Source organism: Homo sapiens, chromosome 14, assembly GCF_000001405.40.
Source record: "Homo sapiens chromosome 14, GRCh38.p14 Primary Assembly".
In the NCBI taxonomy this organism is placed as follows: domain Eukaryota; kingdom Metazoa; phylum Chordata; class Mammalia; order Primates; family Hominidae; genus Homo; species Homo sapiens.
Window position 1 is genome coordinate 30,958,694 of NC_000014.9, and position 13,971 is coordinate 30,972,664.

Consider the following 13,971-nt stretch of genomic DNA (forward strand, 5'->3'; position numbering starts at 1 on the left):
GAAGTAAAAATTGGTGGGTTTCTGATTGAGAAAGGCATTGAAAGTAAGTGAAAGTCATAATGTCCTCTAAGAGGGTTCTTTTTAAAAAAGACAACCCAGCAGCAGTATTTCCTATTAGAATCTTATACTGTTGTGAGAATTGGTTTTCATTTCCTTTTTTTGAATTTTTGTATTACCAACTATCCACACTTAGACAATCTAGTAAAATAGACAAGCACAAACCACACACCAAAAAGCAAAAATTCCAAAGCGGTACTGAACAGACGGCTGAAAGGAAATAATTTGCGAGAATTTAGGACAAGGAAAACGCTCAAGAATTAAAAACAAAACCTTTTTAAAAAATGTGGACTAGGGTGGGCATGGTGGCTCACACCTGTAATCCCAGCACTTCCAGAGTCCAAGGCAGGAGATCACTTAAGACCAGGAGTTTGAGACCAGCCTGGCCAACACAGCAACACCTCGTCTTCACTAAAAATTTAATAATTAACTGAGTGTGGCGGTGCACGCCTGTTATCCCAGCTACTTGAGGGGCTGAAGCAGGAGGATCATTTGAGCGGAGGGGTCGAGGCTGCAGTGAGCCATGATTGCCACTGCACTCCAGCCTGAGCGACAGAGCAAGACCCTGAATGAAAAGAAAAAAACAAAACAAAACAAACACCACCACCACCAACATATGGATTAACCAAAAATACATGGAAGAGGACCAAGTAAATGAGAGAGAAGTCATAATGACTGGAACTGACCTTATGACCTCATATCATCACGTATCTAGAGGGTAAACTGATTGAAAAGGTAAAGGTTATACCTGATAGTGATAATAACATAATAATGACCAATTAAATAATAAATTTAGCACTCAGTACAGGATCATTAACAATCTACTTTTCAGCAATGTTATAGCATCATCTCTGCAAATAAACACTTTTAAAAGTAACCTCAAAAAACACATTCCCCATGGCATCAAAAAATAAAAGTACCTAAAAAAGGCAAGGTGGCACATGACTATAATGCCAGCTACTTGGGAAGCTGGGGGGTGGGGGAGAATTGCTTGAGCCAGGGACTTCGAGACCAGCCTGGGCAACACAGTAAGACTCCATCTCCAAAACTATAACAGATAAAAGTAACTAGGAAAAAACCACCAAAGATGGGCAAGAGCTTTACACAGAAAATATAAAAATTTAACAAAGGCATTAAAGACAACCTAAACGGACTAGCTGACTACTGTAAAAATATCAATTTTTACCCAAATTGACTGACAGATTTAATTTCAATCAAATTCTGAATTTGCATGTGTAGAACCTGACAAGCTGATACTAAAATTTACCAAAAAAAAATTCAAATTACCTAGAACAGCCAAGACAATTATAAAGAATGAGATGGGCCGAGTACAGGGGGCTCATGCCTATAATCCTAGCACTCTGGGAGGCTGAGGAGGGTGGATTGCTTGAGACCAGGCGTTCAAGACCAGCCTGGGCAACATGGCAAAACTCTATCTCTACAAAATACAAAAATTAGACAGGTGTGGTGGCATACACCTGTAGTCCCATCTATGTGGGAGTACTGCTTGAGCCCAGGAGGCAGATGTTTCAGTGAGCTATCAGGCCACTGCACTCCAACCCGGGCAACAGAGTTTCAAGAAAAACAAAAAGAATGAGGTGATAGAATTTGCTCTACTAAACAATAAGATATAACACTGCAGCAATTAAGACACTGATGACTCAGGGATAGGAAAATGAACCAAAGAAACAGAACAGAAAGTCCAGAAACAAACTAAAGCATAGAAGATCACATGATTTATGAAAGATGGCAGTGCAGAACATTGAGAAAAAAATGGTTGCTTCAAAAATGGTGCTTAGTAATAGAGAATCCAAATGTGGGCTAAAAATGAAAATGAGGCTGGGCGCGGTGGCTCATGCCTGTAATCCCAGCACTTTGGGAGGCTGAGGCGGGCAGATCACGAGGTCAGGAGATCGAGACCATCCTGGCTAACACGGTGAAACCCCGCCTCTACTAAAAATACAAAAAATTAGCCGGGCGTGGTGGCGGGCGCCTGTAATCCCAGCTACTCAGGAGGCTGAGTCAGGAGAATGGCGTGAACCCGAGAGGCGGAGCTTGCAGTGAGCTGAGATGGTGCCACTGCACTTCAGCCTGGGCCACAGAGTGAGACTCCATCTCAAAAAAAAAAAAAAAAAAAAAATAGAAAGAAAAGAAAAAAAGAAAATGAACATCTGCCTGATACTTTCTGCCTCATACAGTTCCAGGAGGATTACAGATCTAAATATGAACGCAGGACAGTAATGCTTTTAGGATATAACAAGTATCATCACAACTTCAGATTAAGGGGAGATTTCTTAAAAAAGACAAAAACACTAGCCATAAAGAAAAGGATTAAAAATTCATTACAATTTAAAAACTTTTATTCAAGATAAAAGAGGAATTGGCAACCTATCCCAGGCTTGTTTTTGCATAGCCCTAAAACTAAAAATGTTTTTTAAAGTACCATAAAACAAGAAACAAAGAATAGGCAACACAAAGCCTTTGTAGCCCACAAAACCTAACATACTTACTTTAAAAGTCTGTCAATCTCCCATACTAATATCAGACAAAATAGGCTTAAAATTTTAAAAAAGACAAGAGACAAAGAACATTATATACAGTCATGTGCCACATGACATTTCAGTCAATGACAGACTGCATATACAACAGGGGTCCCATATGATTATAATGGAGCTGAAAAATTCCTATCGCCTAGTGAAGTTGTAGAAGTCTAGAAGTCGTAGCTATTGTAACATTGTAGTGGGACGCATTAGACGCATTATTCACGTTTGTCCTGATGGTTATAAACAAATCTACTGTGTTGTCAGTCATACAGAAGTACAATACATATAATTATGTACAGTGCTCAATACTTATAATGACAATAATGACTATTCTACAGTTGATTTACTATACATTTTTGTTTTGAGACACCCAGACTGGGTTGTAGTGTGCAGTCACAGATCACTGTACCCTCTAAGTCCTGGGCTCAGGTGATCCTCCTGCTTCAGCTTAAGGCTCGGGCCACCAGCCAGGCTAATTTTTTAAAAATTATTTTTGTAGAGAAGGGTATTGCTTTGTTGCCCAGGCTGGCCTTGAACTCCTGGCCTCAAGTGGTCCTCTTGCCTTAGCCTTCTGAGTTGCTAAGATTACAGGTGTGAACCATCGTGCCTGGTTCTATCGTTATTTTAGAGTGTATTCCTACCTATAAAAAGAAAAGTTAACTGCAAAAGTGCCTCAGGCAGGTCCTTCAGGAAGTATTCCAGAAGAAGATATTGTTGTCATGGAAGATGACAGTTCCATGTGTGTTACTGCCCTTGAAGACCTTCCAGTGGGATAAGATGTGGAGGTAGAAGACAATGATATTAACCTAGGCCTTCCTAGGCCTTACGTAGGCATAGGTTAATATGTGTGTTTGTGTCTTCATTTCTAACAAAAAAAGTTTAAAAAGTAAAAATAAATCAAAATTTTAAAAACTAGAAGAAAGCTAATAGAATAAAGATAAAAAGAAAATATTTTTATATAGCTGTACAATGTGCTTGTTTTAAACTAAGTGTTATTACAAAAGAGTTAAAACGCTGAAAAAATTAAAATTTATAAAGTAAAATGATTATGGTAAGCTATTATTGAAGAAAAAAATTCACATAAATTTAGTAAAGTCTAAGTATACAGTGTTTATACAATCTACAAGAGAGACAATGCCACAGGCCTACAAATTCAATCACCACTCACTGACTCAACCAGAGCAATTTCCAATCCTAAAAGCTTCATTCATGGTCAGTGCCCTACACAGTTATACCATTTGTTATCTTTCTTTTTTCTGAGACAGGGTCTCACTCTGTCACCCAGGCCACAGTGCAGTGGCACGATCACAGTTCACTGCAGCCTCAACCTCCCTAGGTTCAGGTGATTCTCCCCTCTCAGCCTCCCGAGCAGCTGGAACTACAAGCACCTACTACTATGACTGGCTAAGTTTTCTATTTTTTTAAGATGGGATTTCACCATGTTGCCCAGACTGGGCTCAAACTCCTGGCCTCAAGCAATCCTCCCTCCTCAGCCTCCCAGAGTGCTAGGATTACAGGTGTGAGTGACAGCACCTGGCCCCATTTTTTTTTTTACTATACCTTTTCTATGTTTAGATACACAAATACTTACCATTGTGTTACAACTGCCTATAGTATTCAGTACAGTAACATGCTATACAGGTTTGTGGTCTCAGAATAGGCTATACCACATAGCCCAAGTGCAGGCTATATTATCTAGTTTGTGTAAGCATACTCTGTGATGTTCACAAGATGAAATCATCTAACGATACATTTCTCAAAACATATTCTTGCTGTTACGTGACACATGACTACGCTAATAATGACAAGAAGATATTACAACTATAAACACACACACACCTAGTAACAGATTATCAAAACGTATGAAGCAAAACTGACAGAACAGAACGGAGAACAGACAACAGTAGTTGGAGATTCAATACCCCACTCTAAATAATGGATAGAACCACCAGACAAATGGTAAGGAAGAAAATAGAGGATCTGAACACAACAAATCACCTAGCTCTAACACACATATGCAGAACACTTTACCCAACAAAAAAATACACATCTTAAGTGCACATGGGACAGTCTCCAGAACAGACCATGTAAATTGAGTCACAAGTTAAGTCTAAATAACTTTTTAATTTTTTTGAAACAGGGTCTCATTCTATCACCCAGGCTGGAGTGCAGTGGTGCAGTCTCGACTCACTGCAACCTCCAGCTCCTGGGTTCAAGTGATTCTCCTGCCTCAGCCTCCCGAGTAGCTGGGACTACAGGCACACGCCACCAAACCCAGCTAATTTTTGTATTTTTTGGTAGAGACAGGGTTTCACCATGTTGGCCAGGCTGGTCTCAAACTCCTGACCTCAAGTGATCTGCCCACCTTGGCCTCCCAAAGTGCTGGGATTACAGGCATGAGCCACCATGCTCAGACAAGTCTTAATAACTTTAAAAAGACAGATATCAAAGTTTCTTCTCTGACCACAAAAAAATCAAGTTAGAAATCAATAACAAAAGAAAACTGGAAATTCACAAATTTATGGAAATTAAACAACACACTCAAAGAAGAAAAATTAGGTAACAGAAACAAATGAAAACAAACACAGGACATACCAAAACTTAGAGGATGCAATGTAAGCAATGCGCAGGGGGGAATTTATAGATATAAATGCTTACATTAAAAAACAAGAAAAGAGCCAGGTGCGATGGCTCATGCCTGTAATGCCAACACTTTGAGAGGCTGAGGCAGGCGGATCACTTGAGGTCAGGAGTTCGAGATCAACCTGGCCAACATGGCGAAACCCCATCTCTCGTAAAAATACAAAAATTAGGCAGGTGTGGTGGTGCGCATCTGTAGTCTCAGCTATACGAGAGGGTGAAGCATGAGAATCACTTGAACCTGGGAGGTGGAGGTTGCAGTAAGCTGGCAATAGAGTGAGTCTCCGTCTAAAAAAGAAAAACAAAAAACAAAAAACTACACACAAGAGAAGATAGGGCATGGGAGCTGGGATTTGAAGCCAGTTGGATCATGAGGGTTTTGTTGCTCTTGAGAGATTCTTCTAGCAATTTCCATACCAACCAACACAGATGTTTCTCTTTCTTCATATGATGATCAGGGATCCAAACATATCCAAAAAGCTAAAGAGGCACCATTTGTCCCCCATTGGAATAGCAGGTTTTGCAGCAATTGTTGCAGTGGATATACAAATTGAAGAACAGGAGAAATATTAAAATGTCCCTTCACCTGATCCACATGCATGTGGCAGCCCAAGGCTTTGTGATGGGAACAATGACTGTTGATGTCAACTATTCCATGCACTGAGAATTATGGGCAAAACCTAAGCCTTAGAAGAAGAGATGCAGGCTTGGCACAGTGGCTCACACCTGTAATCCCAGCACTTTGGGAGGCTGAGGTGGGCGGATCACCTGAGGTCAGCAGTTTGAGATCAGCTTGGCTAATAGGGTGAAACCCCATCTCTACTAAAAATACAAAAATTAGCCAGCTGTGGTGGCGCGCACCTGTAATCCCAAGTACTCCAGAGACTGAGGCAGGAGAATCACTTGAACTCGGAGGTGAAGGTTGCAGTGAGCCGAGATAGCACCACTGCACTCCAGCCAGTGCACAACAGGGCAAGGCCCCTTCTCAAAAAAAAAAAGAAAAAAAAAGAGAGTCTTGGTCTTGGTGCTGTCTTGGTCTTTGTCTTGTTGCAGGAGCTTGCTCTAGTTAGACATGTCATTATTGAGGTTAAGTGTTCACACAGAAAACATGTTATTTGATGGAATTCAGACGATAACACACTATTTTGAGTATTGACTTCCTTTCTTGCAGGCTTGATTTGCTTGGTGACCAAATTACTAGTCACTAGTTCACTAGTGAACTAGGTCATTCAGAGGAGTCACATTAACAGAAAAGAAATATGTCACCTAATACAATTGACTATGTAAAAATATCCACCTTCTTAAACTGTTATAATGAAATTAGTTCTAAAGAAGACAGCAGGCCAATCCAGAAGTACTCCCAGTTTGCTGCAGAATCCCACATGCTTTGGATGTTATATAGGAGTCCTATTTACCCCAGTTAATTTACTTTCTTCTGCCTGCCTAGTAGACTGGTTGGCTCCTTAAGTGCATGGGGGTGCAGTGGTTTATGTCTGTAATCCCAGCACTTTAGGAGACTAAGGCAGAAACGTCACTTGAGGCCAGGAGTTCAATACCAGCCTGGGCAACACAGCAAGACCCATCTCTAAAAAAAAACAAAAAGAGGCCAGGAGCGATGGCTCACGCCTGTAATCCCAGCACTTTGGGAGGCTGAGGCAGATGGATCACCTGAGGTCAGGAGTTCAAGACCAGCCTGGCCAACATCATGAAACCCCATCTCTACTAAAAAAATTAGCCAGGCATAGTGGCAGGTGCCTGTAATCTCAACTACTCAGGAATCTGAGGAACGAGAATCGCTTGTACCAGCCTGGGTGACAAAAGTGAAACTCCATCTCAAAAAAAAAAAAAAAAAAAAACAACAAACAAAAGTGCATGGGGCCAGACATCTGTAATCCCAGTGCTTTGGGATGCTGAATGTTAGATATGAGTTCTAAATTTCTTTTCAAATAATATGTCAGTATGTTCCACTCTTTGCCTTCTACTTTTAAACTTAACTTCCTCATAAAGCAATCTTTTTCGATTACCCACTCCACCCTGACTCATTCCAATTACCTACTCCACCCTGACTCACCTGCTCCACTCTACATTCCAATCACCTGCTCCACCCTAACTCATTCCAATTACCTGCTACCTGCTCTGCCCTGACCCCCGCCAAAGCACTCACCCTGTCATTCTCTTTTAATTAGCCAATCGGAATTAGTTTAGCCTGTGCATCCAATCGGAATTAGTTTAGCCTGTGCGTCTAACCCTAGCCGACAGGGGAACAACACGGCAGCAAAGGGTCACGTGCATCAGGGATAAGAACCCCTTCCCCTCCCTTGTCCAAGTGTGCGCTCACCATTGTTCCATCTGTAAGGGTGCACCCTTCTATACAGAAGTAACTTGCCTTGCTGAGAATTAAAAAGAAAATTTTATATCTGAGTGCTATTTCTTTTGTGGCACCGAAACTTTACATATAACAATGTGGGGGCTCATCCAGGATTACATTCCCCACCAGGGACAGTCTCTGTTTCTCTCTCGTGAGGAGGTGCACCCTGCCCTATTGTGGCAGCCTCAGGGATGAGAAATCAAGACCTACCCAGTGCGAGGAATAACCCGAGCTCTCAGCAACGCAGAGTGGGGGACTGGCCAGCAACCTAGCTTAAAGGATCCTCACATACTGCTGCGATGACTGTGCACAGGCCAAGGAAGGAGAAGCCGCAGGAGCTGGTAAAGTACTTCCTTTGTGGTCAAATTCTGGAGGGCTAAATGTGTGCGTGCGTGAATGATCATCAACAACCCTGCTTGCGGTGTTGTGTGGATGGTGACAAGTCCTACTGCTGGACGGAGTGAGTGGGTCCTCTCCAAGGTTCCATAGCTACCTCATATGGCTTAGAGCAAATCCTGCCATGGGATTTATACCAGCACGCCAACACTAAGAGGGGCCTAATTCTCCCTTAGGGGAGCAGCCAGAGATGACAGCACAAGTGGGAAGTGTGCAAAGGACCTTCAGAAGGGGAAAGGGGGGAAGCAGGTCAACCTCCCAGGACAAGCAGGACAAGACACCCCCTGGTTTGAGGGATTGAGCCTTCCGGGACAGGCAAGGTGAGACACCCCTGGTTTGAGGGGTTGAGGCTTCCGGGACACACAAGGTGAGACATCCCTGGTGTTAAGGGGTTGAGCCTTCCGCTAATTTCAAGGGTTGAACCTGACACAACCCCCCACCCCACCTTTTCCTTTCTTCTTGGGTATTAGAGTAGCTCCACTCCCACAGGTCCCTACCCTAGAGGCAGAGAGACACAGAGGGGAAAGAGAGGGTGGGGCAGGGTGGGGGGGAAGAGAGGCAGAGAGAGGGGGGAAGAGAGGCAGAGAGGGGGGAAAGAGAGGCGGTGGTGGGGAAAGAGGCAGAGAGACAGAGAGTCAGAGAGAGAGAAAGAGACAAAGTCAAACAGAGAAAGAGAAAAATAGTAGTAGTAAAGAGAAAAACAGTGTACCCTATTCCTTTAAGAGCCAGGGTAAATTTAAAACCTATAGTTAATAATTGAAGGTCTTCTCCGTGACCCTATAACACTCCAATACCATCTCGCTGTCAATGTAAACAAGGGCGTAGCCCAAAAGCACTGAGGACACTGACAACCCGTAGCCTTCCTATCAAAAATCCTTAACCCAGTAACCCGCGGATGGCCCAAATGCATTCTATCTGTAGCGGCAACTGCTTTGCTAACAGAAGAAAGTAGAAAAATAACTTTTAGAGGAAACCCCATTGTGAGCACACCTCACCAGTTCAGAACTATCCTAAGTCAAAAAGCAAAAAGGTAGCTTACTAACTCAAAAATCTTAAAATTATAAGGCTATTCTGTTAGAAAAAGATGATTTATCATTAACCACTGAAAATTCCCTTAACCCAGAAGGTTTCCTAACAGGAGATTGAAATCTTAATTACCATACAAAGATCCGACCAGACCTAGGAGGAAGCCCCTTCAGGACACGACTTCCTCCCGGGTGACTGGGGTGGTGGGGGAACAACAGGTATTCAGTAATTGATAGGGAAACTCCTGTAGAGGCAGTCAGGAAAACTGCCTAATAACTGGTCTCCTCAAACGTGTGAGCTATTTGCACTCAGCCAAGCCTTAAAGTACTTACAAAACTAGGAAGGAACCATCTATACCAATTCTAAGTTAATTTGGACTAAACAGGGTCTTATTAATAGCAAAGAATAATTGAAATACCAAACTTAAAAGGTTTTCAACAAAAGCAAAGTTTGCTAAAAGTTAACAGTGTAACATGTATTATCCTAACTTCTAATCTTATGGCCTTAGACAGTCTAGTCCACCAACATGAAGTTCACTTCAGAAAAGAATGATTATCATCTTCAAAAAAAAAAAAAAGAAAAAAGAAATTGGGGGGACAGAATTTATGTAAAAAGAACGTTATATGGTAAATTCTTGTCCTAAAATAAGATTAACTGGTTTAAAAAAAAAAAAAAAAAACAGGCGTGGTGGCTCATGCCTGTAATCCCAACACTTTGGGAGGCCGAGGCGGGCGGATCACGAGGTCAGGAGATCGAGACCACCCTGGCTAACACAGTGAAACCCCGTCTCCACTGAAAATACAAAAATTAGCCGGGCATGGTGGCGGGTGCCTGTAGCCCCACCTACTCAGGAGGCTGAGGAAGGAGAATGGCGTGAACCCGGGAGGCAGAGTTGCAGCGAGCCAAGAAGGCACCACCGCACTCCAGCCTGGGCGACAGAGGGAGACTCCATCTCAAAAAAAAAAAAAAAGGTGTTTGCGGCAAGTCAGAAAGTTGAGGCATGTCTAAGAATTATCTGTGAAAGTTGTGGAGAAAAAAAAGGTTATAAAAGGAAATTTATGCAAGAAATGTTGTATAATTTAAAAGTAATTAAGCCTCCTAAATGTAAAACTATAGAAGAAACAGTTTATGTGCAAAGCGTGTAAGGAAAGTAAAATATACTTCTGGTAAAAAGACTATAAGGAGGCATAAGAATCTGAATTTTTACCTACATTAAAAGGTTAAAAAAAATATATATTTTGTTTCAAAGGTTTAAGCAAGTTTTAAAACATTAATTGTAAAGGAAATTCTGTGTGTAAACATATTAGCCAAAGAGGTATCATCCAGTTTTTCTGTGAACTGGATATTAAAACAAAAGCATAACAGGTTTTTCTTAAAGCACTAACCTGCTGTTTAACAAAAATTATAAAAAAGGTTAAAAAGAGTCTATAAGCTGGGCGCAGTGGCTCACGCCTGTAATCCCAGCACTTTGGGAGGCCGAGGAGGGCAAATCATGAGGTCAGGAGATCGAGACCATCCTGGCTAACATGGTGAAACACCATCTCTACTAAAAATATAAACAAAATTAGCCGGGCATGGTGGCAGGTGCCTTTAGTGCCAGCTACTCGGGAGGCTAAGGCAGGAGAATGGCGTGAACCCGGGAGGCGGAGCTTGCAATGAGCTGAGATCGCGCCACTGCACTCCAGTCTGGGCCACAGAGCGAGACTCTGTCTCCAAAAAAAAAAAGTCTATAAAAATCTTACCTTATGCTCAGACATTAAAAATTGGATAAATATGTCTACAAGGTTTTATTAAAATTAACATTAATAACACACTAATATAAAGGTGAAATTCAGATTATTTGGTATAAAAATCATACAGGAAGCATTGTTAAATATAAAATGGTTGTTTGGCTTTCTTTGGTCTAAAAACTAATAAAAGTAGGTGCTAAAGGAAATTTCTCAGTAAGAAGGCACCAAAAACTATATATAAAGTCCACTGTTGATGTCCCCACATTTAAAACAAAAGGTCAATTTCTTAGAAATTATATACTTGGTTTTATCTTCCACTTTCCTTTCCCTCAAAACTAAAAGTCTTTTAGCACAGGTACAACCCCTAGAATTTCCAGTAAACCAGCACCAGCCTGAAGATCACCTTCTCATCAAAGAGTGGAAAGAAAAAAACTCGAGCCAGCATGGGAAGGACCCTACCTTGTGCTGCTAACCACCAAGACTGCTGTTCGTACAGCGAAAAAGGGATGGACTCACCCACACCTAAGTCAAAGCGCCACCCCCTCCAGTCATGGACCACAGTCCCAGGGGAAAACCCTACCAAACCAAAGCTAAGAAAAATTTAACTTTTTCATCTATTCTATTACTCTTCTTTTCTCACTCTATTGCTAAGCATCTAGTTATTAACACCAAGTCAATTTCACCTCAAACTACTGCATTTAATGCTTGCCCTGTTATACCCTGTGGGGACTTGCCAAGTCAAAGACAGCTCTCTATTTCAGAAAAGTACCTTGTCCCTCCTGACTCTCCTCAGAATGGGCATTAGTAAATTGGGACCTTTTAATCCAGGGAGATTTCGATAAAGACCCGAGTGTCAACCAGGAGTCTGGCCCCCCGATGTAGAGCTTTTATGCCGTAGTTGGTCCAACGTTCTGTGGACCACTAAAGAGCAAGGATAGACTGCCCCAAACAGTTTTTGTAATTTCCTAAAACCATACATTCATTTTACTAAAGGGACAGCTCCCCTCCCCCAGCTGTCAGCTAAACCAATGCAATCCTATACAGGCTATTATTTCAAGCCCCCAAAGTTCTTCCCTTTTCTAAGCCAGTTCCCTTCTTTATGCCAGTTTTATGGTATGGGGGCTGAGGTTTCAAGGACAGACCCTATTGGACTCCTTAAAATGCATGTCTTTGATCCCCCACTGCCTGCACCAGCTTCTAAGCCTTTTTCCAAAACCTCTCACAAGGGAACCATTGTTCCTCCTCCATCTAAGGACAAGGCCAAGATAGCGATGGTAAAAGTTAAAGACTTAAAACAAACTTTGGCAATTGAGACAAGATACCAAGATGTAAATGCCTGGTTGGAATGGATCAAATATTCCACCCGCACATTAAACAAAAGCAACTGTTATGTTTGTGCGCACGGCAGGGAGGCCCAGGTTGTCCCCTTTCCACTAAGGTGGTCCTCCAGTCAACCAGGCAAGGGCTGCATGGTAGCTCTTTGCCAGGATTCTACAGCCTGGAGTAATAAGTCTTGCCAAGCTCTCTCTCTGCTATATCCCAAAATCCGGCACCCTGCGGGTCAGCCCCCGAGGGCCATCCAGCCTCCATCTCCCAACACTAAGTTCACTTTGTGTCTCTCACAACATGGAGGAAACTTAGCGTTCCTTGGAGACCTGAAGGGATGAAGTGAGCTTAAGAATTTAAGAGCTTATCAATCAGTCAGCCCTTGTTCATCCCCGAGCAGATGTGTGGTGGTATTGTGGTGGACCTTTAGTGGACACCCTGCCAAACAACTGAAGTGGCACTTGTGCTTTAGTCCAATTGGCTATCCCTTTCACCCTGCCATTTCATCAACCAGAGAAAGGAAAAATAAGACATCGTAAAGTGAGAGAAGCCCCTTATAGGTCTTTCAACTCTCACGTCTATTTAGACACAATTAAAGTCCCATGAGGAATACCAGATCAATTTAAAGCCCAAAATCAAATAGCTGCAGGATTTGAGTCAATATTTTGGTGAGTGACAAAAATGTAGATTGGATAAACTATATCTATTACAACCAACAGCGATTTATTAACTACACTAGAGATGCTGTTAAAGGAATAGCTGAACAATTAGGGGCAATCAGCTAGATGGCTTAGGAAAATAGGATAGCCTTAGACACGATATTAGCAGAAAGAGGATTTTGCATCATGATTAAAACTCAATGTTATACCTTCATCCCAAACAGCACCGCCCCTAATAAAAGTATAACAAAAGCACTGCAAGGTCTCACTGCTCTATCCAATGAGTCAGACAGCAACTCAGGGGTAAATGACCCCTTTACAGGATGGCTAAAAAAAAAGTAGTTCGGTAAATGGAAAGGAATAATAGCCTCAATTCTTCCCTTGCAGCCATAATAGGTGTACTTATTCTTGTCGGGTGCTGTGTCATACCATGCATCCGTAAGTAGATGCAGAGGCTCATAAAAATGGCATTTACTAAAACCTCCCTTAACTATCCTCCACCTTATCCAGAGAAGCTTCTTCTTTCAGAAAGTCAAGCAAAACAACTAAGCCAAGACATGTTAAAAAAAAGTTTGAAAAGAAAGCTGTAAGGAAACACAAGGGGAGGGATTGTTAGATATGAGTTCTAAATTTCTTTTCAAAGAATATGTCAGTATGTTCAATTCTTTGCCTTCTACTTTTAAACTTAAACTTCCTCGTAAAGCAATCTTTTTCGATTATCTACTCCACCCTGATTCATTCCAATTACCTACTCCACCCTGACTCACCTGCTCCAATCTACGTTCCAATCACTTGCTCCACCCTAACTCATTCCAATTACCTGCTACCTGCTCTGCCCTGACCCCCGCCAAAGCACTCACCCTGTCATTCTCTTTAAATTAGCCAATCGGAATTAGTTTAGCCTGTGCGTCTAACCCTAGTCAACAGGGGAATGACACAGCAGCAAGGGGCCACATGCATCAGGGATAAAGAACCCCTTCCCCTCCCTTGTCCAAGTGTACGTTCACCATTGTTCCATCTGTAAGGGCGCACCCTTCTATACAGAAGTAACTTGCCTTGCTGAGAATTAAAAAGAAAATTTTATATTCGAGTGTTATTTCTTTTGCGGCACGGAAACTTTATAACACTGAGACAGGAGGATCACCTGAGGCCAGGAGTTCAAGACCAGCCTAGGCAACATGGCAAGACTCCATCTCTACAAAAAATTAAAAAAAAAAAAATTAGCT

At 42.0% G+C, this 13,971-nt stretch overlaps 1 protein-coding gene and 1 pseudogene across 5 annotated transcripts in view; one reads left to right on the forward strand and one right to left on the reverse strand.

Annotated features, from left to right (window-relative positions):
• STRN3 (striatin 3) overlaps nucleotides 1–13,971 on the reverse strand; it is a 132,576-nt gene that overhangs the window by 64,890 nt on the left and 53,715 nt on the right. The window contains exon 1 of one of the 5 annotated variants that reach the window (XM_047431321.1): nucleotides 374–2,204. The exons of the other annotated variants lie outside the window; for them this stretch is intronic. Coding sequence (XP_047287277.1) covers nucleotides 374–727 — 354 coding nt within the window. The 5' untranslated portion in view covers nucleotides 728–2,204. Of the gene's footprint in view, nucleotides 1–373; nucleotides 2,205–13,971 lie in introns of those variants that run through there. 5 annotated transcript variants of the gene reach the window in all.
• On the forward strand, nucleotides 5,586–5,951 carry HIGD1AP17 (HIG1 hypoxia inducible domain family member 1A pseudogene 17; annotated as a pseudogene).